This window comes from Homo sapiens, chromosome 1 (assembly GCF_000001405.40).
Source record: "Homo sapiens chromosome 1, GRCh38.p14 Primary Assembly".
Lineage (NCBI taxonomy): Eukaryota > Metazoa > Chordata > Mammalia > Primates > Hominidae > Homo > Homo sapiens.
The window spans coordinates 44,975,415-45,001,995 of NC_000001.11; the positions used below are offsets into that span (position 1 = coordinate 44,975,415).

Consider the following 26,581-nt stretch of genomic DNA (forward strand, 5'->3'; position numbering starts at 1 on the left):
TAGCCTACTACATACCTAGGCTATATGGTATAGCCTATTGTTCCTAGGTAACAAACCTGTATGTTATTATATACCATAGGTAACTGTAACACAATGGTAAGTATTTGTGTATTTAAACATATCTAAACATAGAAAAGGTACAGTAAAAATATGGTATTACAATCTTATGGGACCACATATGTGGCCAGTCATTGACCAAAAATCGTTATGTGGCACATTACTATATATACGATGTTCAAGGATCAAAAGATTCAATATTAAGATGTCAAATCTGAGCTGGGTGAGGTCGCTCATGTGTGTAATCCCAGCACTTTGGGAGGCCAAGGTGGGTAGGTCACTTGAACCTGGGAGCCCGAGACCAGCCTGGCCAACATGGTGAAACCCTGTCTCTATAAACTACAAAAATTAGCCAGGTGTGGTGGCACACACCTGTAATCCCAGCTACTCAGGAGGCTGAGGCACGAGAATCAGTTGAACCTGAGAGGTGGAGGCTGCAGTGAGGTGGTGCGGTGAGGAGGTGCAGTGGAGGTGGAGATTGCACCACTGCACTCAGCCTGGGTGAGAGAGCAAGACTCTGTCTCAAAAAGAATACAAAACAAAGACAAAACCATAGAAGAACATCTACACAAAGGTCAGATGGGCAGAGATTTCTTAGGCCGGACACAAAAAGCAATAACCATAAAAGAAAAAATCAGTAATTTGGATTTCATCATCATTAAAAACTTTTCTTCAAGAGACACCATTAAATAAAAAGCCACAGACTGGTGGAAAATATTCACAACACATATCTCACAAACGACTTGCATCTGGACTATATTAAGAATTCCTATAATCAATAATGGAAAGGCAAACAACTCAATTAAAAAATAGACAAATGCTTTGAACAGACACTTCATGAACATATATAAATGGCCAATAAACACATGAAAAGGTGTTCAGCATCATTACCATCAGGGAAATGTAAATTAAAACCACAATGAGATACCACTACATACATACCTACTAGAATGGTTAAAATTAAAAAGACTGACAACACCAAGTGTTGATGAAGACGTGAAGCAAACGCAACTCTTACAAACTGTTGATGAAAGTATAAAATGGTACAATCACTTTAGAAAACTGCTAGTTTCCAATAAAGTAAACCTTACAGCCTATAGAATATTTTCACAAAAAGACCTGCAGAACAATGCTCATAATAGCTTTATGCATGATAGCCAAAAATTAGAAACAACCCAAATAACTGTCAATAGGAGGATAGATAAATAAATAGTAGTATATTCATTCAATGGAATACTACTAAGCATGAAAAGGAACAGATTAGTTATACTTTCAATAACATGAAAGAATCTGAAAAATATGTTGAACAAAAGAAGCCAGAACAAAATTGTATGTTTCCATTTATATGAAGTTTATAAGCAAATAAAATTAATACATAGTGATAGAAACAGAAGAGTGGTTGACTCAGAAGATCAGAGACTTACTAGAAAGAAGCACAAAGGAACTTTCAGGGGTGATGGAATTGTTCTAGATTTGGATAATGGTAATCTAGGTGTATATTTAGTATCTGTGCATTTTACTGTGTATAAATTATTCCTCAATAAAAGGGGTGGGAAAGCCATGTACATATTTGCATTAATTTTTTGTTTTATAGTACAAAAGTCGGTTGAAAATAACACATCCGTTTAATCACCAGAAATAACAGAAGAAAGTTTGTCTCCCATTTCAAGTAATATGGCAACATCACAACGATTGAATTTTTTCCAAAGAAAAACAATTTTAGAACAATCTACAGTGGATCTTTCTCAGCTCATGGGCCACAAACCATTGGGGAGACTATGTTCTCATATCTATGTGCTCCTTAGTTTCTTAACCAAAGGTTAACTAAAAGTTCAAATATTACATGGGAGGTCTATGAATTTTTGAACGTTCCTTTGTACTTCTTTCTAGTCAATCCTCACCTGCAGAGTCAACTGCTCCTCTGATTTATACATTAACATTGCTTGTTCACAAACTTCATATGAATGGAATCTTTTGAAGTACATTTAGAGTATATCTTTTTTTTTTTTTTGAGATGGGATCTCACTCTGTTGCCCAGGCTGGAGTGCAGTGGCATGATCTCGGCTCACTGCAACCTCCACCTCCTGGGTTCAAGCGATTCTCCTGCCTCAGCCTCCCCAGTAGCTAGGATTACAGATGTGCACCGCCATGCCCAGCTAATTTTTGTCTTTTTAGTAGAGACAGGGTCTTACCACGTTGACCAGGCTGGTCTCAAACTCCTGACCTCAAGTGATCCACCTGCCTTGGCCTCCCAAAGGGATTACAGGCATAAGCCACTGTGCCTGGCCTAGAGTATGTCTTTTTTTTCTTTTTTAATAAAAATGTGCTATTACTCAAAAACATTGGAAACCAGTGACTATGACAAATTAATGTCTAAATCTTTACTAGTAACCAAATCAAAGAGCAACTGAAGAGTACATGGGTAACAAAGTATGTGATGTAAAAATATATCAGAAATAAAGTTTTGTAAACTATAATGCACTGGGGGCCAGGCGTGATGGCTCACGCCTGTAATCCCAGCACTTTGGAAGGCCGAGGAGGGTGGATCACCTGAGGTCAGGAGTTCGAGTCTAGCCTGGCCAACATCCCATCTATACTAAAAATACAAAATTAGCCAGGCACGGTGGCGTATGCCTGTAATCCCAGCTACTTGGGAGGCTGAGGCAGGAGAATTGCTTGAACCCGGGAGGTGGAGGTTGCAGTGAATTGAGATCACACTACTGCACTCCGGCCTAGGTGACAGAGCGAGGTTCTGTCTCAAAAAAAAGACTATAATGCACTGGGAAAACATAAGATATCATCTATCTTCAATAAACAAGAAGAGTCAAAAAATTGCTTTTCACCTTAAGTTTTGGATATATGTAGCGCAAAGAATCTGCAGTTCCCATGTCAGCGTCATCAGGAATACACACAATATCTGGCTTCATTTTCATCTTGAATTCTGCACATAGAGCCTTTTGAACATCCCTGGTTGTAACCACAATGACTTCTATAGGACAAAAGAAAAAAAGAAAGAAAAACAAAAACTTACTCATATAGACAGTGGTTCCATTATTTCAATTAGATTTGGTCTATTTCTAGGTGTAATAACAACTGCTAATATTATTGTGCCTTTTCAATATATTTTACCTGCATTCCCCCAATAAATTCTTTTTTTTTTTTTTTTTTTTTTTTTTTTTTTTACAGACAGGGTCTCACTCTGCCACTCAGGCTGGAGTGCAGTGGCACTGTCGCAGTTCACAGCAGCCTCAACCTCCCAAGATCAGGCAATCCTCCCACCTCAGCCTCCCAAGTAGCTGAGACTACAGGCATGTGCCACCATGCTTGGCTAATTTTTGTATTTTCTGTAGAGATGAGGTTTCGCTCTGTTGCCCAGGCTGGTCTCCAACTCCTGGGCTCAAAGGATCCGCCAGCCTTGGCCTCCCCAAGTGTTGTGATTACAGACGTGAACCACTGCATCTGGCCTCCCCCCAATTAATTCTTAGAACAATCTCATCTTACAAATGAGGAATCTTGGATTAAAAGACATGCTGGCTGGGCGCAGTGGCTCATGCCTGTAAATCCCAGCACTTTGGGAGGCCGAGGCAGGCGGATCACTTGAGCCCTGGAGTTCAAGACCAGCCTGGGCAACATGGCAAAACCTTGTCTCTATAAAAAAACTCCAAAAAACCAGAGGTTTAGGTGGGAGGATTGCTTGAGTCTGGGAGGTGGAGGTTGCAGTGGGCCAAGATCACCCCACTGCACTCCAGCCTGGGTAACAGAGTGAGTCTGTCTCAAAACAAACAAACAAACAAAAAAAAACCTCAGGTCTATATGAATGGTGCCCACACTTTAATATATTATATGCCACTTCTCCTTGATATGAAGAATTCAGAAGAACATTAATCAAAAATACAAATGGGAAGAAATATAAAAAACACTCTGGGAAGCCAAGGCAGGCAGATAACTTCAGCCCAGGAACTCAAGACCAGCCTGGGTAACGTGGCGAAACCCTGTCTCTGCCAAAAAAAAAAAAAAAAAAAAAAGGAGGAAAGAAAAATTATCCAGGTGTGGTGGCATGCATGTAGTTGCAGCTACTCAGGAGGCTAAGATGGGAGGATCGTTTGATCCCAGGAGGCAGAGGTTGCAATGAGCTGAAATCATGCCACTGTACTCCAGCCTTGGACGACAGAGCAAGACTCTGTCTCTAAAAAACAAAAAAACCAAAGGGGGCCATGCGTAGTGGCTCACACCTGTAATTCCAACACTTTGGAAGGCCGAGACAGGCAGATCACTTGAGGTCAGAAGTTCAAGACCAGCCTGGACAACATGGCGAAACCCTGTCTCTATTAAAAATACAAAAAAATTAGCCGGGAGTGGTGGTACACGCCTGTAGTCCCAGGTACTCGGGAGACTGAAGCAGGAGAATTGCTTAAACCTGGGAGGTGGAGGTTGCAGTGAGCTGAGATCACACCACTGTACTCCAGCCTGGGCGACAGGGTGAGACTCCAACATTTTAAATCTTCATTCAATACAAAGAGAGAGCTATTAAGCTACCACCCTTCCTATTGGAGGCAACTCTAATAATGGAATGAACACTGGATCACAAGACTGGGCCTCAGGCTTTGGCACCCTGATTTATTACATCTAAATATAGGACACCTCAAACTCAATGTGACCAAAGCTGAACTCATTATTTTAATGAAAATAAAATTCATTAAAACCTTTTCCTGGCCAGGCACGGTGGCTCATGCCTGTAATCCCAGCACTTTGGGAGGCCGAGGTGGGCAGATCACGAGGTCCTGAGATCGAGACCATTCTAGCTAACATGGTGAAACCCTGTCTCTACTAAAAATACAAAAACTTAGCCGGGCATGGTGGAAAATGCCTGTAGTCCCAGCTACACAGGAAGCTGAGGCAGGAGAATCACTTGAACCCGGGAGAGGTTGAACCCTGGCGGAGGTTGTAGTGAGCCAAGATCGTGCCACTGCACTCCAGCCTGGGTGGCAGCGTGAGACTCTGTCTCAAAAAAAAAACACCTGTTCCTTGTCTCCTATTCCTTTTCCTACTTAATGGCATAACTATCTACCTAGCTACCCAAGCAAAAAGTAGAGAGGATCACTAGACTTTAAAGTTCTGGAAGTCAGGGCCTGAGCTGTCTTTTCAATTCTGTACCTCCGTGTTTAATATATAACCTGGTACTTACATCAAAACAAAATTTAAAACATATATATATTGAATATCAGATAATATAAATATTACCTGGTACATAATAGATTCTCAGTAAGTACTGACTATGAGGCATTTAAGAGTCTCAATCTGCTCTTTCTGATATCTTTACAGAGTTCGTCTTGGATCATTGTGGACATCAGCTCCATAACAACAACACTTAGTGCTATCCTCTCAACCTTTTTCACACAGCAATAGAGTACTCCTACATTCCTTAAAGAAGGCAGTCTTCAGCCAACGAGTTCTAGTCACCCTCTCTCATTCTCATAACGCTGACAAATCATGGGGATCAAATCTCCTAAAAGTTTTATGAGTTCACAGCTCACTTTGTCATAGCTCACCTTCAAATCCAACACGCTCAAGCAGGTTCAATGGGTACCAAATTAAAGGTTTGTTCCCAACTGGAAGCAGAGGTTTGGGAATGCTGGAAGTTAGGTCTGTCATCCGAGATCCTCCACCTACTGCCATCACTACTGCTTGAAATTCCATTTTTACAAACTGCAAGTACAGAAAAAACAATTAACAGAAAAAAAACAATGTAACAAAAATCAAAGCACACATACTACTAGCCTATTTTTATTTAGGTTACTGATACCCACTATGTCAAATGCATAATTCCTAACTCTAGCAATCACAGTAAGAAAAGCTTAGCTGCAGATAAACATTATGTCTACCAATATGTATTCTCAGTTCTATCCTTGGTAAAAGTGGGAGGATAGGAATGCAGGGGCTTTGCCCTTGAGTTATTCACAATTAAGTGGAGAAGACAAATTCAGTAAATCACAATATATGTCATTAGTGCCACAGCAGAAAAATATCCAAGATACAGTGGGCATACAATAAAAGGAACACCTAGTTTTCATTGAAAACACAGAGAAGTTTTTATAGAAAGTGATGCTTGAGCTGACTCTGAAGAAGTAAGAGTTTACCAAGTGGACTTCTGATGTGTGAATTTTTATTCTTTGAAAATATTAGGCTGGGTGAGGTGGCTCACATCTGTAATCCCAGCACTTTGGGAGGCTGAGGTGTGTGGATCACATGAGCTCAGGAGTTCGAGACCAGCCTGGGCAACATGGCGAGACCCCATCTCTACCAAAAATACAAAAAATTAGCCAGGGGTGGTGGCTTGTGCCTATGGTTCCAGCTACTTGGGAAGCTGAAGTGGGAGGATCATTTGAGCCTGGGAGGCAGGTGTTGCAGTGAGCCGAGATTGAGATTGGACCACTGCACTCCAACCTGTGTGACAGAGTGAGATCCTGTCTCAAAAAAAAAAAAAAAAAAAGAGAGAAAAAAGAAAATATTAAAAGATGCCTGACTAGAATTAACAGCAGAAACACAAGCATGTTAGGCTTCTGAAAAGTATGAAATGACTTAAGACTCCTCCAATAATTCAGCCATCGGCTCATCTTATTCCTCCAATTTTTAAAGATATCACTATAAACACAAACGTAGGCTTGTATCTGAACCTAGATTTACAGAACACAATTATAAAAACAAACCAAACTGTTAATTCCTTTTTTCAAACTCAAGGTAATAAACAAACCTATTTGACTTTGAAAAGAATCTCTTTACAGAAACTACCACAGAACAGAGGCACAGTAGAAGGTCATAAATCTTTATTTATGTATTTATTTTTGGAGATGGAATTTCACTCTTGTTGCCAGGCTGGAGTGCAATGCCGTGATCTCGGCTCACTGCAACCTCCACCTCCCAAGTTCAAGCGATTCTCCTGCCTCAGCCTCCCGAGTAGCTGGGATCACAGGCATGGGCCACCATGCCTGGCTAATTTTGTATTTTTAGTAGAGATGGGGTTTCACCATGTTGGCCAGGCTGGTCCCAAACTCCTGACCTCAGGTGATCCACCGGAGTCGGCCTCCCAAAGTGCTGGGATTACAGGTGTGAGCCACGTGCCCATCCTATTTATTTATTGTTTATTTAGAGACAGAGTCTTGCTCCATTGCCCAGTCTGGAAGTGCAGTGGTAAGATCATGGCTCACTGCAGCCTCAACCTCCTGCACTAAAGCAATCCTCCTGCCCCAACCTCTGGAGCAGCTGGGACTACAGGTGGGTACCACCATGCCTGGCTTTTTTTTTTTTTTTGAGACGGAGTTTCTCTCTTGTTGCCCAGGCTGAAGTGCAGTGGCACGATCTCAGCTCACCACAACCTCTGCCTCCCAGGTTCAAGTGATTCTCCTGCCTCAGCCTCCCAAAGAGCTGGGATTATAGGCATGCACCACCACGCCCAGCTGCCCAGCTAATTTTGTATTTTTAGTAGAGACAGGGTTTCTCCACATTGGTCAGGCTGGTCTCGAACTCCCAACCTCAGGTGATCTGCCCACCTTGGCCTCCCAAAGTGCTGGGATTACAGGTATGAGCCACTGCACCTGGCCGCCTGGCTAATTCTTTTAATTAATTTTTTATAGAGATGGGGTTTCACTATGCTGCCCAGGCTGGTCTCAAACTCCTGGCCTCAGGCCTCCTGCCTGGGCCTCCCAAAGTGCTGAGATTAGAGGCATGAGCCACTGCACCTGACCGATCTTTACTGATTTAAACTGAAAGTACTTTCTCTTACAATGATGTAATTTTAAGAACAAATGTGTTAAAATGTAACGTTCAGAAGAAACAATCTATTCAACATCAAATTGCCAAATAATGTTGCAACTTTACTATAATTATTATTACTCCTGGGCCCAGCACATCAACATCTAAAGTGCAGCACTTAACACCTACTATACCCAAGGCACAAAGTGAAGGCTCCTGCATAACATTCACAATGTAAAGATATGGTCATGTAGATTCTAGCAAGCATTGCCTCAAAGTGTAATTTAATTTCATTTTGGTATTATATAACATCCACCACATCAAATGTTATTATGAAAAGAGCACTGGACCCTTAAGAGTCAAAAGATGAGCTGGACGTGGTGGCTCACGCCTGTAATCCCAGCACTTTGGGAGGCCCAGGCGGGCGGATCACCTGAGGTCAGGAGTTCAAGAGCAGCCTGGCCAACTTGGTGAAACTCTGTCTCTACTAAAAAAAAATTTTTTTTTTTGAAACAGAGTTCTTGTTCCCCAGGTTGAGTGCAATGGCATGATCTTGGCTCACTGCAACCTCTGCCTCCCAGGTTCAAGCGATTCTCCTGCCTCAGCCTCCCAAGTTGCTGGGATTACAGGCATCCGCCACCATACTTGGCTAATTCTTTGGATTTTTAGTAGAGACAGGGTTTCACCATGTTGGCCAGGCTGGTCTTGAACTCCTAACCTTAGGTGATCCACCTGCCTTGGCCTCCTAAAGTGCTGGGATTTCAGGCATGAGCCACTGCGCCCGGCCTCTACCAAAAACATTTTTAAAAGTAGCCAGGCATGGTGTCAGGCACCCGTAATCCCAGCTACTCAGGTGGCTGAGGCAGGAGAATCACAGGAACCCGGGAGGCAGCAGCTGCAGTGAGCTGAGAGCACACCACTCGCACTTCAGCCTGGGCGACAGAGTGAGACTCCGTCTCAAAAAAAATAAAATAAAATAAAAAAGAGCCAAAAGAGCGCCAGGCACAGTGGCTCATGCTCCCAGCACTTTGGGAGGCCAAGATGAGAGGATCACTTGAGCCTAGGAATTCTAGAACAGCCTGGGCAACATGGTGAGACCCCATCTCTATAAAAAATTAGCCAGGTATGGTGGCGCATGCCTGTAGTCCCAGATACTCGGGAGGCTGAGGTGGGAGAATCACCTGAGCCTGGGAGGTTAAGGCTGCACACCACTGCACTCCAGCCTGGGCAACAGAGTGAGACCCTGTCCCAAAAAAAAAAAGTCAAAAGATGAGTTTGAGTCATGATTCTGACACTCATAGGTGTGATCAGGGGCCTGACATTTAAAACTCTCAGTGTCCTCAGCTTCTAGAAGGAAGCCTGGTGGTTAGGTTCACAGACCATAGAGCTAGAATGCCTAGGTTTGAATTCTAGCTCTACTATTTATTATTAGCTGTGTGAACTAGGGCAAACTACGTAAATTTTCTATGCCTCAATTTTTGCATTTTATGATGGGGATAATTATAGTTTCACTTCACAGAGTTGTTGTTAAGATTAAATTTGTTATTCTACGTAAAGCAGACAAAATAATGTCCATCTTTTTTTTTTTTTTTTTTTTGAGACGGAGTCTCGCTCTGTCGCCCAGGCCGGACTGCGGACTGCAGTGGCGCAATCTCGGCTCACTGCAAGCTCCGCTTCCCGGGTTCACGCCATTCTCCTGCCTCAGCCTCCCGAGTAGCTGGGACTACAGGCACCCGCCACCGCGCCCGGCTAATTTTTTGTATTTTTAGTAGAGACGGGGTTTCACCTTGTTAGCCAGGATGGTCTCGATCTCCTGACCTCATGATCCACCCGCCTCGGCCTCCCAAAGTGCTGGGATTACAGGCGTGAGCCACCGCGCCCGGCCAATAATGTCCATCTTATGAGAAGCACTATATTTGTATTTGCTTTACTAGACAGAGACTAGATTATGGAAAACCTTCGTACTAATTGAGCCATGCTGCTTCATAATTCTGGTCTCTGCACTGCTACTGTTGCTTCCTAGTCTGCCTTTCTCTTGTGTCTAGTAATCACCTATTAAACTTTGAAGACAGCTCAAGAATCCTCTTGCCTACAAAGCCATTCCTAACCGTTCCCACCCCTCCAGAAGTGACTCCTTTTCCCGAAGTGCTTCCATTCTGCCATGTGCAGATTCTCTTAGCCTTTACGGGTTTCATTGCACGTATGTGTTTAAATGTCTACTTAAGTGTAACATTAATGTCTCTTAAATGTCTACATAAGAGTGTAAGAGTGACTTTCTTGGACTGTGTGTGCATCATCACTGTATTCCCAGTCAGATGCCAGAAATCAAAGTGGAATGAGGACCTGTGAACTTCACAACTGTATAAGAGTCAAACTCAAACATGTGCATAAGGGCATTAGAACCCAGGTCACTAGGAACTGAGGTTCCAGCTCTCAAGGAGGCCCTGGGTGAAGAAAGGCAACCTAGGAAGCATGAATAGTAATCATGAACATAACTAATCATGCTACCAGGCAGACTGTCAAATGCTCATGTCACTGCCACGACTATGGCTGACGGGAATCATGGCAACGAGTCTCGCTGCCTCCCAAGCTTTGGAGAGGGTGTTCACCGCATCTCAGACTTGCCTGCATCATAGCACTCATGCCTTTTCCAGTTGTAAATAGATAAGAAAACTGTATCAGAATTGGTCTGTCATTCCACGTGTGCTGCCTGAAGGCAGAGACCTCACTGCTCCTCCCTATATTTCACTGCCCTGCATCCAAACAACTAAAGGCAGGCTGAACAAATGAATGAAGGGCTGAGGCTGAAAGAGTGCAGGCACAGTGCTAAAGGCGTCTGGTACCGGTCTGGTGCTCGCTCACTCGCTGTGACTTTAAGCAGAACCCTCCCCGAAACTTCGTTTCTTTCTTTTCTTTTCTTTTTTTTTTTTTTTTTGAAACGGAGAGTCTCACTATGTTGCCCAGGCTGGAGTGCAGTGGCGCGAATTAGGCTCACTGCAACCTCCACCTCCTGGGTTCAAACGATTCTCCTGCCTCAGACTCTCGAGTAGCTGAGATTAGAAACTTAGTTCCTCCATCTGTTGCATAAGGTGGTTGGCTCGGATTCTCATCCCCAACCTCCCTTCTACTTCGGACACAGCTACACCGGGTCGAGCAGGGAGTCGAGCTGACAACTTCGGGGCTCAGCACCCTCTCCTACCCCTTCGGGTCCACCTCGGCCCAGTTCGACATGCCCGCCTCCCTCAGATGAGTGGCCCCACCGCACTGCTCACCCGGGTCAGCCAGCTTGTGTGCGGCCTGGCAGGGCAGAAGTCACAGCTATAACTCAGCTCCCGGCACGCCGCAACCGCTCCCAGCGATCTCCACGCCGCCTCTGACTGACAGCCCAATGGCGCAGGCGCGCGATGGCCGAGAAACTCGATGGAACGCGCAGAGCAGACCCATGGAGAAGAGAAGACCGCCGAGCGATGGATGACGGAGGGGAAGCACACTCAGCGGAGAGGAGGGAAGGCGGGCCGGAGGGGGCGGGGCCACCGAGGAGCATTCGACACGTGTGTCCCTCTGTCCATTAACACATTACCAACGCCTTTTGAGTATTCCTCCCAGTGCAGGGTGCCGGGAACCCAGACGGAACAACTCAGCCTCTTTCCTCAGGGAGTAAGTCTAAGACCTGGCTTCGAGTACATTCGGTGAAAGAAAGCTCATTGGGAGCCGCAATTTTGGCTAGCTAGTGAAAAAAATCACCGAATGCCCCTGCAGGGGTTGCCAGGACTTCCTATTTGTTTTTGTTGTTGTTGTTGTTGTTGTTTGTTTTTTGTTTTTTTTGAGACGGAGTCTCGCTCTGCGTCGCCCAGGCTGGAGTGCAGTGGCGCGATCTCGGCTCACTGCAAGCTCGGCCTCCCGGGTTCACGCCATTTTCCTCCCTCAGCCTCCCGAGGAGCTGGGACTACAGGCGCCTGCCACCATGCCCGGCTAATTTTTTTGTATTTTTAGTAGAGACGGGGGTTTCACTGTGTTAGCCAGGATGGTCTCGATCTCCTGACCTCGTGATCCGCCCGCCTCGGCCTCCCAAAGTGCTGGGATTACAGGCGTGAGCCACCGCGCCCGGCCCGGGACTTCCTATTTGTAACAGGGCCACTCACGTTAACTTTAGCCATCAAAACTGGGGGCGGCTGGGCATGGTGGCTCATGCCTGTAATCTCCGCAATTTGGGAAGCCGAGGTGGGAGGATTGCTTGAAACCGGGCGTTCAAGACCAGCCTGTGCGAGAGAGCCTCCAGTCTCTACAAAAGTAAAAATTAGCTGGGCATGGTAGTGTGTGCCTGTAGTCCCAGCTGCTCAGGAGGCTGAAACGGGAGGATCGCTTGAGCCCAGGAGTTCGAGGCTGCAGTGAGCTATGATCGGGCCACTGCACTCCTCCTGCCTAGACGACAGAGTGAGACCCTGTTTTTTTTTTTTAATTTAGTTTTTATTTCATAATCATAAACTTAACTCAGCAATCCAGTTAGGCATGGAAAGGAACAAGGAAAACATGGAACCCAAAGGGAACTGCAGCAAGAGCACAAAGATAAGATACTGCGAGCAGGCCGGGCGTGGTGGCTCACGTCTGTAATCCTAGCACTTTGGGAGGCCGAGGCAGGCAGATTGCCTGAGCTCAGGAGTTCAAGATCAGCCTGGGCAACATGGTGAAACCCCGTCTCTACTAAAATACAAAAAAAAAAAAAAAAAGAAAGAAAGAAAGAAAGAAAAAATTAGCCAGGCATGGCGGCGTGCGCCTGTAGTCCCAGCTACTCGGGAGGCTGAGGAAAGAGAATTGCTTGAACCCGGGAAGTGGAGGTTGCAGTGAGCCGAGATCGTGCCACTGCACTTCAGCCTGGGAGAGGGCGACAGGGTGAGACAGCGTCTCAAAAAAAAAAAAAAAAAAAAATACTGCAAGCAAATGGGGTGAAGGGGTGCTCTTCTGAGCTACAAAAGGAATGGTCTGGTGGTTAAGATAAAACAAAAGCCAAACTTGTTAGAGTTGTCCACAGTCAGCAATGGTGATCTTCTTGCTGGTCTTGCCATTCTCGGACCCAAAGTGCCCCATGGCCTCCACAATATTCATGCCTTCTTTCACCTTGCCAAAGACCACAGGATTGCCATCCAGCCACTCAGTCTTGGCAGTGCAGATGAAACACTGGGAACCATTTGTGTTGGGTCCAGCATTTGCCATGGACAAGATGCCAGGATGTGTATGCTTTAGGACGAAGCTCTCGTCATCAAATTTCTCCCCGCAGGTGTACTTGCCACCAGTGCCATTATGGCATGTGAAGTCACCACCCTGACACATAAACCCTGGAATAATTCTGTGAAAGCAGGAACCTTTATAACCAAATCCTTTCTCTACATTGCTCAGAGCACGAAAGTTTTCTGCTGCCTTTGGAACCTTGTCTGCAAACGGCTCGAAGGACACGCGGCCCAAGGGCTTGCCGTCGACAGCGATGTCGAACACGGTGGGGTTAACCATGGCTGATCGTACAGAGCTCCTGGCGTCGGTGGCTGCATTTGCAAAGCCGAGACCCTGCTTTTAACAAAACAATAATAGGCCAGGTGCGGTGGCTCACGCTTGTAATCCCAGAAGTTTAGGAAGTGAGGCGGATGGATCCCTTGGGCCCAGGAGTTCGAGACTAGCCTGGGCAACGTAGTGAAACACCCTCTCTACTAAAAATACAAAAATTAGTCAGGTGTGGTGCCGCGCTGTGGGGTTCCAGCTACTTGGAAGGCTGAGGCAGGAGGATCGCTGGAGCCCAAGAGGCAGAGGTGGCAGTGAGCCAATATGGTATCACTGCACTTCAGCCTGGGTAACAAAGAGACAGGATCTCTAAGTAAATAAAATAAATATTAAAAAATGACGAATAGATAATAAAATAATTGTTGTTCTAAGCTCTACGGTTTGGAGTGGTTTATCAAGTTGCACTAGATAACAGGACCAATGGCCATTCTCTTTTTCCCATGCATTCCTGCAATTTCCTAATCTTTTGAAAGCTTCCTTTTTTTTCGATTAATTAATTTTTTTTTTTTTTTGAGACAGTCTCACTCTGTCACCAGGCTGGAGTTCAGTGGCACAATCTTGGCTCACTGCAACCTCTGCCTCCTGGGTTCAAGTGATTCCTGCGTCAGCCTCCCGAGTAGCTGGGACTACAGGCATGCGCCACCACGCCTGGCTAATTTTTGTATTTTTAGTAGACAAGGGGTTTCATCAGATAGGCCAGGATGGTCTTGAACTCCTGACCTCGTGATCTGTTCGCCTCGACCTCCCAAAGTGCTGGGACACAGCCGTGAGCCACCGTGCCCAGCCTGATTCATCTCTTAAATCTTGAGTTGCTTTAGCTTCCTGCCAGTTAAAAGGTAGAGCATGATTTCTGTAATAAAAATAAAGGAGCTTGACTTCATTCAACAATATTTATTCATTTATTTTTAGAAATGAGGTCAGCTTATGCTGCCCAGGCTGGACTCAAACTCCTGGGCTCAACGATCGTCTTGCCTCAGCTTCCCAAGTAGCTAGGACTACAGGTATGTGCCATGGAGGACTGGCTTCAACAATATCTTGAGTGCCTAATATGTGCCAAGCAGTGTCTTAGATGCTTGGTGTTGCAGATACAGCAGTTAATGATTAGGACTTGTCATTTTTTCCAGAAGGAGGTCTGCTTAGACCCTGAAAAAAAAAGGGGGGGACTCATATCCTAAAACCAGCCTATCTTTGCCTTGCCATGAACTGACTGATCTGGCCACAGGAGGCCTGAAGTCTGACTACCCCTCTATAGAAACACAGAGATATTCTCTCTTTGGTATTACCTCAACCAAGACTTGGAAATTACAGCATGGGTTTGAGGTAAGAACTAATTATAAGTAAGAAGAGCAGTCAGCCCCATATCTGCCATCCATTTCAAATCCTTATGTTTAAACTAGCAAATGTTTTTCAACGAACTAGAGGGTTTTCTCTTCTATTGTGGAAAGTAGTTGAGAGATTGCTTCAGTTTAAACTCACTTTAAATTATTCCCTGAGGGCAACAATTCTCAAACTTTTTCATCTCTAGACTCTTCATACTTAAAAATTACTGAGGACCCCAGAAAGCTTTTGTTTATATGGATTATATTTATCAATATTTACCATATCGAAAAAAAATTATTTTTTTGACACGGAGTTTTGCTCTTGTTGCCCAGGCTGGAGTGCAATGGCACGATCTCAGCTCACTGCAACCTCTGCCTCCCGGGTTCAAGCGATTCTCCTGCCTCAGCCTCCCAAGTAGCTGGAATTTACAGGCATGCGCCACCACACCCAGCTGATTTTGTATTTATAGTAGAGACGGGGTTTCTCCATGTTGGTCAGGCTAGTCTCAAACTCCTGACCTCAGGTGATCCGCCCGCCTTGACCTCCCAAAGTGCTGGGATTACAGGCATGAGCCATTGTGCCTGGCCAACTACATTTTCAAAACAAAAAGTTTAGTGAGATGAATGCCATTGTTTCACCTTTTTGAATAGTCTCTTTAGGGTCTGGCTTAATAGAAAACAGCTTGATTTTTCCATTATTGTAATATATTATTTTGGTTTAATTATATCATAAAAATGTGACTTCACATAGATACATAGTTGGTAAGAGATAGAGCTTTTAATAGCCTTTTCAGATAATTATAGGTATTCTTTGACACTATACCAAAATTCAATAAGTGGTAGTTTGTTAAAGGTTTGTTGCAATGTAGAATCGGAAATTATATCAATGAACATTTTGTACCTTGTTACAGTACTTGCACTTTGAATGGACATTTTACCCATGCATGACCTTGCAACTTGGTATACAAATAATATGTAAAATATTCGTTCACAGAGTTATGCAGATCTTCCTAACATTGACTCATTATACAATATTTTAAAATCACATTTGTTAATATCACTAACAATTTCATCAGAAAAATTCTTAAATATTAGAAAGCTGGGAAGCTGATGATGACAGATACAAGTTTTATAAAATTCTAATTTTTGGCCGGGCACAGTGGCTCACGCCTGTAATCCAAGCATTCTGGGAGGCCGAGGTGGGCAGATCATGAGGTCAGGAGATTGAGACCATCCTGGCTAACACGGTGAAACCCTGTCTCTACTAAAAATACAAAAAAATTACCCCGGCATGGTGGCAGGTGCCTGTAGTCCCAGCTACTCAGGAGGCTGAGGCAGGAGAATGGCGTGAACCCGGGAGGCAGAGCTTGCAGTGAGCTGAGATGGCGCCACTGCACTCCAGCCTGGGCTACAGAGTGAGACTCCGTCTCAGAAAAACAAAAACAAAAACAAAAAACCCCCAAAATTTTAATTTTCTCTTCAAAGCTCATTGGCAGCAAATACTATTAGTGGTTTCCCTTGAAGTAACTGGCTCACTTTGTTTATACATCGGCAGGCATAGTTGGTCAGTTCTTTTTTTTTTTTAAATGAAAAACCATAATATGCCCTTCATTTGCTTTTAGCTATTTCATAAACATCACAGATAAACTGGACACAGTTTGCAATGCAACTTAGAAAAATTTCTTTTTCCATAACATAAACATGTCAATCTTTCCCTTTAGTGCCTTCTTCCACTCCTCCTCCACTGTGCTGAAGAGATATTGAGTTCTTCCAGATTTTTGCTTAGCTGGGTGGTTTCCAAACTCAATGGACTCTCTAGGTAGGTAATTCCTGCACAGGGCTTTCCTGTCACTGGATTTATGATTTTTCCAACTTTGAAAACAATCTCGGCCAGTTCATGTTTCACATGCTTTGTTCGCGGAACAGGTAAAGCTCTGAGAAGCACAGTATCACCAACTGTGCACTGCTGAAGGGCATCGTGAGCAAAGTAGGTTTTCCGCTTATTGTAATACTTTAATAAATAGGGATCCAGAACAAGCCTGGTCACTCTCACTTTAGCAGTCTTTTGCATTTTTGTCCCAATCACCTTCCCCACGATCCACTTGGCATGGGTGGATGAATGAACTACGGACATTATGTGGCTTTGGTCACCTCCGCCACGACTGTGCAGCCACCTCCAGTTGTTCTTTCGATTCAATATAGTGCTCCATGAAAAAGCAGTAGTTCAACTCGCAGCTCAAACTATCACAAAACTGTTTCTCTTGGAGACAACCATCATACTTCTTTTGTATGCACAGAAGGGTTAAATGTGTACTTCCCATCTCATCATACAGAATATTAAAAAGACACATACTCAGTAAACTAGTATATTTGGTAGCAAAAAAAAAAAAAATGGGCTGGGCACAGTAGCTCACGCCTGTAATCCCAGCACTTTGGGAGGCCGAGGCAGGTGGATCACGAGGTCAGGAGTTCAAGACCAGCCTGGCCAACATAGTGAAACCCTGTCTCTACTAAAAATACAAAAATTAGCCGGGCACAGTGGCGTGTGCCTGTATTCCCAGCTACTTGGGAGGCTGAGGCAGGAGAATCACTTGAACCTGGGAGGTGGAGGTTTCAGTGAGCCAAGATCATGCCACTGCACTCCAGCTTGGGCAACAGAATGAGACTTCATCTCAAAAAAAAAAAAAAAAAAAAAAAAGACATGTACTCAGGCCAAGGTTTAATAAAATTAATATAGTTTACTGCTTAATCAAAGACCTTCTTAAGTGTAACTGACTTTGTTTAATTTTTTTTCTTTCTTTTTTTTTTTTTTTTGAGATGGAGTCTCACTCTGTCGCCCAGGCTGGATGGAGTGCAGTGGCGCGATCTTGGCTCACTGCAGGCTCTGCCTCCCAGGTTCACGCCATTCTCCCACCTCAGCCTCCCAAGTAGCTGGGACTACAGGTGCCCACCACCACACCCGGCTAATTTTGTTTTTGTATTTTTAGTAGAGATGGGGTTTCACCATGTTAGCCAGGATGGTCTTGATCTCCTGACCTCGTGATCCGCTCGCCTCAGCCTCCCAAATGCTAGGATTACAGGTGTGAGCCACTGTGCCCGGCCTGTTTTTGTTTTTGAGATAGAGTCTCACTCTGTCACCCAGGCTGGAGTACAGTGGCATGATCTCAGCTCACTACACCCTCCACCTCCCGGGTTCAGGCAATCCTCCTGCCTCAGCCTCCCAAGTAGCTGGGATTACAGGTGTGCGCCACCTGGCTAATTTTTGTATTTTTAGTGGAGACGGGGCTTCACCACGTTGGCCAGGCTGGTGTCAAACTCCTGACCTCAAGTGATCCATTCGTCTCTGCCTCCCATAGTGCTGGGATTACAGGCGTGAGCCACTGCGCCTGGCCAATTTTTTTTTTTCTTTAAGACAGGGTCTTGCTCTGTTGACCAGGCTGGAGTGCAGTGGCATGATCTTGGCACCTCTGCCTCCTTGGCTCAAAGGATCCTCCTACCTCAGCCTCCCAAAGTGCTAGGATTACAGGGGTAAGCCACTGCGCCTGGCCTTAATGTTTATTCTAATTTTTTAAAAAGTGTATGGGACTAAAAAATAAAATGACTATTGTACAGTTTGGTGCCAATGCTTCGATTCATGCTTAATAAAGCACCAGAAGTTTTACCCACCATTGCTTTGGCACCATCAATGCAAATATCAATATGATGAAAAAGGTAAATATATTTTAATATTATTATGAAAATAGTTCTGACCTGACAGATCCCCTGAAAGGGTCTTAGGGATTCCCGGGAACCCATGGAGCACATTTGAAGAGCTGCTGCCTTATGGATTCCTCCTGGCTCTTACTGCTTCTAGCACTTACATTATGGCACTCACCATAAAGGATTGTCATCCTCTTTTCCATGTCTTCTCTATCACACTAGGAGCCCTTTGAAGATAAGTGCTATATCTTATTTGTTCCTGTCTCCCCAGGACCTAGCATAGAACCTGGGACGTGCTAAGTGAATAATATTGGATGAATTGAAATCTTACAGATTTTCCCTTGACTTCCCATTTGGTGGTGGGAAAACTGGGCTGAGAGCCAGGTCGCTGACAACATCTCTTCTCCCGAACTTTCCTCCTCACTATCAATTCATGCCTAGCCCCATGCTTATTTATTATTATTATTAAGTACACAGGAAATACTTAGTAAATACTTATTAAATACAGGGTATTCCCTAAAATGTTTGTTTCGTCTTGACCATAATTATTCTCATTTCTTCCCTAAGGGATATTTGTGTGTATATATGTGTGTGTGTGTCTGTGTGTTCATATGTGGTGGGGGAATAACTTAACAAGGGCAAGCTCTCTAAACTGTGGAAGACAAAAGAAATCTTTCAAAATTTGGGTCTTGGCTCACAAACAGTCTTCCCACGGTCTGCTAGAGATCTCTCTGGGAATTTGCTGGCCACCTCACAATATTCATCTACTCCATTTGGCCAGAGACTTGTCAGTGGGGCGGGGAATTATTGTTTTTAGAGTAGTGAATGAAAGATATTCCACTTTGGCAAACAATTGCAGGTCCTAAAATATTTGCATTTTATTGATTGATTGAGACAGGGTCTCTCTGTGTCACCTCGGCTGAAGTGCAGTGGCACAATCACAGCTCACTGCAGCCTTGACCTGCTGGGCTTAAGCGATCTTCCCACCTCAGCCACCAGAGTAGCTGTGACTACAGGTGCCTGCCATCATGCCTGGTTAATTAAAATTTTTGTTTTTCGTAGAGACAAGGTTTCACTATGTTGCCCAGGCTGGTCTCGAACTCCTGGGCTCAAGAGATCCCCCGGCCTCAGCCTCCCAAAGAACTAGGATTACAAGCGTGAGCCACTGCACCCAGCCTTGCATTTTATTTTTGTACATAGGCCCAGTAATTGCCCAATAGATCCATGATAAGTTAGAGATAAAATGATGCTACAGTATTTAACAAAAGGAGCTTGGAAAGAATCTTCATTAATTAGAACTTCAGTATTTCTTTTCAAGCACACAGAATTTTCTTCATTGGTGGTTTTAAAGGTCAGAATCTGGGCATTCATATTCTAAAATGGTGAGTAACTTTAAAAAATAAGTGATTTAATCAATTTGGTGATTTTTTTCCCCCTTATTGAAAACGACTTTTCAACTGGCTGATTTTTCCCTTGTTTTTAAATTAGAGCCTAGCACAGTGGCTCACACCTGAAATCCCAGCACTTTAGGAGGCCAAGATCAGAGGATGGCTTAAGCCCAGGAGGTTGAGGTTGCAGTGAGCCAAGATCGTGCCACTGCACTCCAGCCTGGGCAGTAGAATGAGACCTTTTCTCAACAAGCAAACAAATAAACAAGCAAAACCCAAAAACCACGACACCAAAAAAGAATTAACTTACAATCCAGCAATACCACATCTGGGTATATATCCAAAGAAATTGAAATTGGAATGTTGAAGAGATAATCTGCACTCCCATGTTCATTTCAGCATTATTCACAATAGCCAAAATAAGGAAGTAACCTAAGTGTGTATTAGTGGATAAACACATGCACACACACACACAGGAATATTATACAGCCTTTAAAAAGAAAGATCTTCTGTCATTCATAACAACATGGATGGAGAATATTATGCTACGTGAAATCAGCCAGGCACAAAAAGAAAAACACTGTGTGATCTCACTTATAAGTGGAATTTGATTTTGGCCAGCCATAGTGGCTCATACCTGTAATGCCAGCACTTTGGGAGGCTGAAGTCAGAGGATCTCTTGAGCCCAGGAGTTTGAGACCACCCTGGGCAATATGACAGAACCCTGTCTGTACAAAAAATACAAGAATTATCAGGGGTAGTGGAATGCACCCGTAGTCCCAGCTATGCGGGAGGCTGAGGTGGTAGGATTGCTTCAACGCAGGAGGTCAAGGCTGCAGTGAGCCGTGACTGTGCCACTGCACCCCAGCCTGGGCAACAGAGCAAGACCCTGTCACTGGGGGAGGGGGGAAGTAGCTTTTTCACTGACTTTTAATTATTTATTTATTTATTTTGAGCTGGAGTCTCACTGTGTTGCCCAGGCTGGAGTGCAGTGGTGTGATCTCGGCTCACTGCAACCCCGCCTCCCAGGTTCAAGTGATGCTCCTGCCTCAGCCTCCCAAGTAGAGTAGCTGGGACTACAGGCGCCTGCCACCATGCCCAGCTAATTTTTGTATTTTTAGTAGAGATGGAGTTTCACTATGTTGGCCGGTCTGGTCTCGAACTCCTGACATCAAGTGATCCATCCACCTGCCTCAGCCTCCAGAAGTGCTGAGATTACAAGCGTGAGCCACCACACCCAGCCTAATTATTTATTTATTTTTATTATTATTATTATTATTGAGAGGGAGTCTCGCCCTGTCACCCAGGCTGGAGTACAGTGGTGCAATCTCGGCTCACTGTAACCTTTGCCTCCCAGGTTCAAGCGATTCTCCTGCCTCAGCCTCCCAAGTAGCTGAGATTACAGGCGTCTGCCACCACACCTGGCTAAATTTTGTATTTTAGTAGAGATGGGGTTTCACCATGTTGGCCAGGCTGGTCTCGAACTTCTGAGCTCAAGTGATCCACCCACCTTGGCCTCCCAGATTGCTGAGATTACAGGCATGAGCCACCGCACCTGGTCTTATTTTTATTTTTAATTTTATTTCTTTTTGAGACAGAGTTTTGCTCTTGTTGCCCAGGCTGGAGTGCAGTGGTGCGATCTTGGCTCACTGCAACCTCCTCCTTACAGGTTCAAGCGATTCTCCTCCCTCGGCCTCCCAAGTAGCTGGGATTACAGGTGCCCACCACCACGCCTGGCTAATTTTTGTATTTTAGTAGAGACGGGGTTTCACCATGTTGACCAGGCTGGTCTCGAGCTCCTGACCTCAAGTGATCCACCCGGCTCAGCCTCCCAAAATGCTGGGATTACAGGCATGAGCCACCACGCCTGGCCTTATTTTTATTAAGATTATTTTTTTAGACAGGGTCTCATTCTGTCCCCCAGACTCTGTTTCATATAAACAGAGAGGGCTAGGGGGTGGTAAAAGAGAAGATGTTGATCAAAGGGTGCAAAATCTCAGTAAGACTGTAGGAACAGGTTTTAGTCAGCTATTGCACTGCATGGTGACCACAGTTAATAAAAATGTATATTTCAAAATCGCTAAAAGAATAAATTTTTCACATTCTTGCCACAAAAAATGATTAGTTGGTGAGGTGATGGATATGTTAATTAACTTGATTGACCCTTTGTGCAATGTATACATAGACCAAAACATCATATTGTAGCCCATAAATATATACAATTATTGTGAATGAAAAATAATTAATTAAAAAAATTTAAGGCCAGGCGTGGTGGCTCACGCCTGTAATCCAGCACTTTGGAAGGCTGAGGCGGGCGGATCACCTGAGGTTGGGAGTTCGAGACCAGCCTGACCAACATGGAGAAGCCACATCTCTAGTAAAAATACAAAATTAGCAGGGCATGGTGGCGCATGCCTGTAATCCCAGCTACTTGGGAGGCTGAGGCGGGAGAATCGCTTGAACCTGGGAGGCGGAGGTTGCGGTGAGCTGAGATCATGCCATTGCACTCCAGCCTGGGCAACAAGAGCAAAACTCTGTCTCAAAAAATAAACAAATAAACAAACAAATAAATTTAAAGGTGGAATCTGAGGCACAGAAAGGTTAAGCAACTTGCCCATGGTCAACAGCTAGTACGTGGCATAGCCAGAATATGGATATAGTCAAGCTGATTCCAAAGAATGTGCTCTTAACTAGTACACAACAGTATATTGCCTCCCAATGGTATATATCCAATATAGGTTCTTCCACAAAGAAAAAATTTTGAGCTCATAAACATTTTGAGGTTTAAAAATCAACAACTGAACCCATAGAGATAGAGAGTAGAAGGATGGTTACCAGAGGCTGGGAAGGGGAGTGGGGGGATTAAGGGGAGATAAGCATGGTTAACGAGTACAAAAAAGAGTTTGAATGAGTAATGCCTTGTGTTTGAAAGCACAACAGGGTGACTATAGTCAATAATAATTTAATTGTACATTTAAAAACAGCTAAAAGAGGCCAGGCATGGTGGTTCACACCTGTAATCCCAGCATTTTGGGAGGCTGAGTTGGGCAGATCACCTGAGGTCAGGAGTTTGAGACCAGCCTGGCCAACATGGTGAAACCCCATCTCTACTAAAAATACAAAAATTAGCCAGGCATGGTGGCTTGCGCCTGTAATCCCAGCTACTTGGGAGGCTGAGGTGGAATAATCGCTTGAACCTGGGAGGTGAAGGTTGCAGTGAGCCGAGATCATGCCACTGCACTCCAGCCTGCAGAGCAAAACTCTGTCTCAAAAAACCAAACCAAACCAAACCAACTAAAACGGTATAATTGGATTGTTTGCAACACAAAGGATAAATGCTTGAGGGGATGAATACCCCCATTTACCCTGATGTGAATATAACACATTGCATGCCTGTATCAAAACATCTCATGTACCCCATAAATATATAAACCTATATACCCACAAAAATGAAAAATAAAAAATTATTGGCCAGGCGTGGTGGCTCATGCCTGTAATCCTAGCACTTTGGGAGGCCGAGGCAGGCAGATTGCTTGAGCCCAGGAGTTCAAGACCAGCCTGGGCAACATGCTGAGACCCTAGCTCTACAAAAAAAAAAAAAAAAAAAAAACAACTTGGCTGGGTGTGGTGGTGCATGCCTGTAGTCCCAGCTACTTGGGAGGCTGAGGTGGGAGGATCACTTGGCCTGGAGGTGGAGGGTGCAGTGAGCCAAGCTTATGCCACTGCACTCCAGCCTGGGGGACAGAGTGACCCTGTCTAAAAAAATAATCATAACAAAAATAAATAAATTATTAAAAAATGTGGCTGGGCGCAGTGGCTCATGCCTGTAATCCCAGCACTTTGGGAGGCTGAGGCAGGCGGATCACCTGAGGTCGGGAGTTCGAGACCAGCCTGACCAACGTGGAGAAACCCCGTCTCTACTAAAAATACAAAATTAGCCGAGCGTGGTGGCGCATGCCTATAATCCTAGCTACTAAGGAAGCTGAGGCAGGAAAATTGCTAGAACCCGGGAGGCAGAGGTTGCGGTGAGCAGAGATCGCGCCATTGCACTCCAGCCTGGGCAACAACAGCGAAACTCCATCTAAAAAAAAAAAAATTATTAAAAAATTTTTGAACTTTTTACATTAGAAAAGAACATGCATGAAATTAAAAGGCAAAGGACAGACTAGGAAAACATTTGCAACACCTGACATGACGGACAAAGGGATTAGGATATAACACCTCAGTTACTGAGTCAGTTGGCTTTGGAGCTGGCAGACTACCATCCTAATCTCCATCACTTAACCACTTATCCTGGGCAAGTAATTTAATTCCTCGTTGCTCTAGGTTTCTCATCTGGAAAAGGGCATAGTAATAGTACTTACTTCACAGAGTTGTTGAAAAGATAAAACAAGACAGTAAATGTATGTTACTTAGCACAGTGCTTTGCTAAGAGGATGATCAGCAACTACCAAGCTTTTATTATTTTAGTACCATGCAAAGGTTGCTACAAATCAATAAGAAAAATATAATGAAGACAACAGAAAAATGGACAAAAATATATGAAGCATAGCTCATAAAGAAGAAAAATAATGGCTCCATATAGTAAACAAAGCAATGCAAATAAAACATAACAATTTTACCATTTTCCAGCACACTGAATTGACAAAAAACATTTTTAAGTGTTAATGCTCAAAGGTGGTGAGAGTTTAGGAAATAGACACTAGAGGGAATGAAAATTGATTCATCCTTCTTACAGGGCAGTTTCGCAGTTTGATGAAGTCATTTTAAGAAGTTATTCTAAGGAAATAAATAGATATTGCAATGGTATATGCATGAGGATGTTTATTGCAACATCTGTAGTTTTTAGTGTTGAAAATTTGTGAACAATCTTAATGTCCATCTGTAGAGGTTTTAAAATAAATACAAATTATGAAAGTTCCTTATAATGTAATACAATTGCTACCTATAAAAATAATGGTCGGCCAGGCGCAGTGGCTCATGCCTGTAATCCCAGCACTTTGGGAGGCCAAGGCAGACAGATCACATGAGGTCAGGAATTCGAGACCAGCCTGGCCAACATGGTGAAACGCCGTCTTTACTAAAAATAAAAAATTAGCCGGGCATGGTGGCGGGCGCCTGTAATCCCAGCTACTCAGGAGGCTGGGGCAGGAGAATTGTTTGAACCCGGGAGGCGGAGGTTGCAGTGAGCCGAGATCACGCCACTGCACTCCAACCTGGGCGACAGACACGCTGTATAAATAATAATAATAATAATGGTTAAAATGAGTGCCCCCTTGGCCCAGTCGTCATCATTTCCTGCTTTGATTAATCCCTGCCACCTGTATCCTTCTCAACCCATTCTCTACACAGCCACCAAGGCAAATATAGTTATGTCACTTTCTTGCTTAATGCCCTCAGGGCTGCTCATTATAAAATCCTAAAACTGGCCTTATAAGACTGGAGTCTCATTTCTCTCTTTCTTTTACACTCCAGCAACACAGTACTCAACAGTCTTCTCAGCTGGCCTCTGTGTTGAGTTACATGCCTTAGGAATTTCGCATTTCATTGAGCTGCATTGGTTAGAACGATCCTGTTCTGTCCCCTAACAATTTTCACTTCTTTGTAGCTTTTACAAAAGTGTTCTTAAGTGTTGTTTATGCAACTCTTTGTTTGTATGTCTTTCCCATTAGAGTTTAAATCCCATAAGGGTAAAAATTATCACTGCTTTAGCCACGATTTTATCCATTCACCTAGTGCAGTGCCTGACCTAGGGGCTTGATGCATATTAGTTTATTGAATGAATGAAGGGTTAAATGAAATGCAGGCTACAAAATATACAGTGTGAGTAAAAAAGGGACTAAAGAGTTCATGTGACCATACCAGGCACAGAAACTGGCTACTTCCTGTAGGAGCACGTGGCCTGGGCCCTTTCCTGAGGGGAGAGAAGGGAGAGGTGCACCCTGACTTGGGAAGAGCAGAGCTGGGTGGAAGTGGTGGCCTTGGGGGTTTCTGTGCCTTCTGCTTCCTGGAAGGGAAGGGGGTTCACCACCCAAGGTGCAGGGGTACAGGGGAGGCGGTGGCAGCCGAGAGACTGAGCTGTCAAGTTCCGTGTTTTGGGATAGGTCTCAGGGTGCACACAGTGCAGGCAGAGATCAACCTCTTGCACAGTAAGTTTCCCAACTAGGGCAGTGTCAGGGAGTGCCCTAGAGGACAAGAAGGGGAAGAGTTGCCAGGGCGAGACTCCGCCAAGCCACTTATCTGGACAATCAGCCACCACAAGGTCTCACATTGTACCTGGACTCTGAGACGACTGGGACCCTGGGGCTGTGCTTGAGAGCGTGACTGGCCACTGTGGGGGTGTAGGGGGACTGTTCGTACACAGGGTTCTCCCTGATACTCCTTTTTTTTTTTTTGGATAGAGGGTCTCACTCTGTTGCCCAGGCTGAAGTGCAGTGGCATGATCTTGGCTCACTACAACCTCCACCTCCTAGGCTCAAGCGATCCTCCCACCTCAGTCTCCCAACTGGCACCACAGACACGCACCCAAGCCCTGCTCATTTTCGTATTTTTAATAGAGAGAGGGTTTCACCACGTTGGCCAGGCTGGTCTCCAACTCCTGGGCTCAAGTGGTCCGCCCACCTCAGCCTCCCAAAGTGCTGGAATTCCAGGTATGAGTCGCCGGCCCCAGGTACTTGTTCTTGAAGACTACTCAGGCCTGTAATCCTAGCACTCTGGGAGGCTGAGGTGGGAGGAATGCCTGAGGCCAGGAGTTCGAGAACAACCTGTTCAACATAGGGAGACCCCTATCTCTGCAAAAAATTACCCAGAAGCGGTGGC

General features: G+C 44.5%; 1 protein-coding gene and 2 pseudogenes across 5 annotated transcripts in view, besides 4 other annotated features; all 3 read right to left on the reverse strand.

The window, feature by feature from the left end:
• EIF2B3 (eukaryotic translation initiation factor 2B subunit gamma) overlaps positions 1–11,181 on the reverse strand; it is a 136,074-nt gene extending 124,893 nt beyond the window's left edge. For all 5 annotated transcript variants that reach the window (XM_047433500.1, XM_047433499.1, NM_001261418.2 and 2 more), the window contains exons 1-3: positions 11,079–11,181; positions 5,607–5,763; positions 2,901–3,046 (exon numbers count right to left, since the gene is read on the reverse strand). In XM_047433500.1, the coding sequence (XP_047289456.1) occupies positions 2,901–3,046; positions 5,607–5,754 (294 nt within the window). In that variant the 5' untranslated portion in view covers positions 5,755–5,763; positions 11,079–11,181. The remainder of the gene's footprint in view (positions 1–2,900; positions 3,047–5,606; positions 5,764–11,078) is intronic.
• Positions 10,955–11,224: an enhancer, noted in NCBI's record as "active region_956". NCBI's record gives its function as "activates an Ori minimal core promoter by ATAC-STARR-seq in GM12878 lymphoblastoid cells {active_cell/tissue: GM12878}" and the evidence as "EXISTENCE:reporter gene assay evidence [ECO:0000049][PMID:35858748]".
• Positions 11,183–11,764: an enhancer, noted in NCBI's record as "H3K27ac-H3K4me1 hESC enhancer chr1:45452269-45452850 (GRCh37/hg19 assembly coordinates)". NCBI's record gives its function as "activates a minimal SCP1, AML or CMV promoter by ChIP-STARR-seq in naive H9 embryonic stem cells {active_cell/tissue: H9 hESC(naive)}" and the evidence as "EXISTENCE:reporter gene assay evidence [ECO:0000049][PMID:30033119]".
• Positions 11,315–11,404: a silencer, noted in NCBI's record as "silent region_823". NCBI's record gives its function as "represses an Ori minimal core promoter by ATAC-STARR-seq in GM12878 lymphoblastoid cells {active_cell/tissue: GM12878}" and the evidence as "EXISTENCE:reporter gene assay evidence [ECO:0000049][PMID:35858748]".
• Positions 11,475–11,524: an enhancer, noted in NCBI's record as "active region_957". NCBI's record gives its function as "activates an Ori minimal core promoter by ATAC-STARR-seq in GM12878 lymphoblastoid cells {active_cell/tissue: GM12878}" and the evidence as "EXISTENCE:reporter gene assay evidence [ECO:0000049][PMID:35858748]".
• On the reverse strand, positions 12,732–13,356 carry PPIAP35 (peptidylprolyl isomerase A pseudogene 35; annotated as a pseudogene).
• On the reverse strand, positions 16,263–16,851 carry MRPS17P1 (mitochondrial ribosomal protein S17 pseudogene 1; annotated as a pseudogene).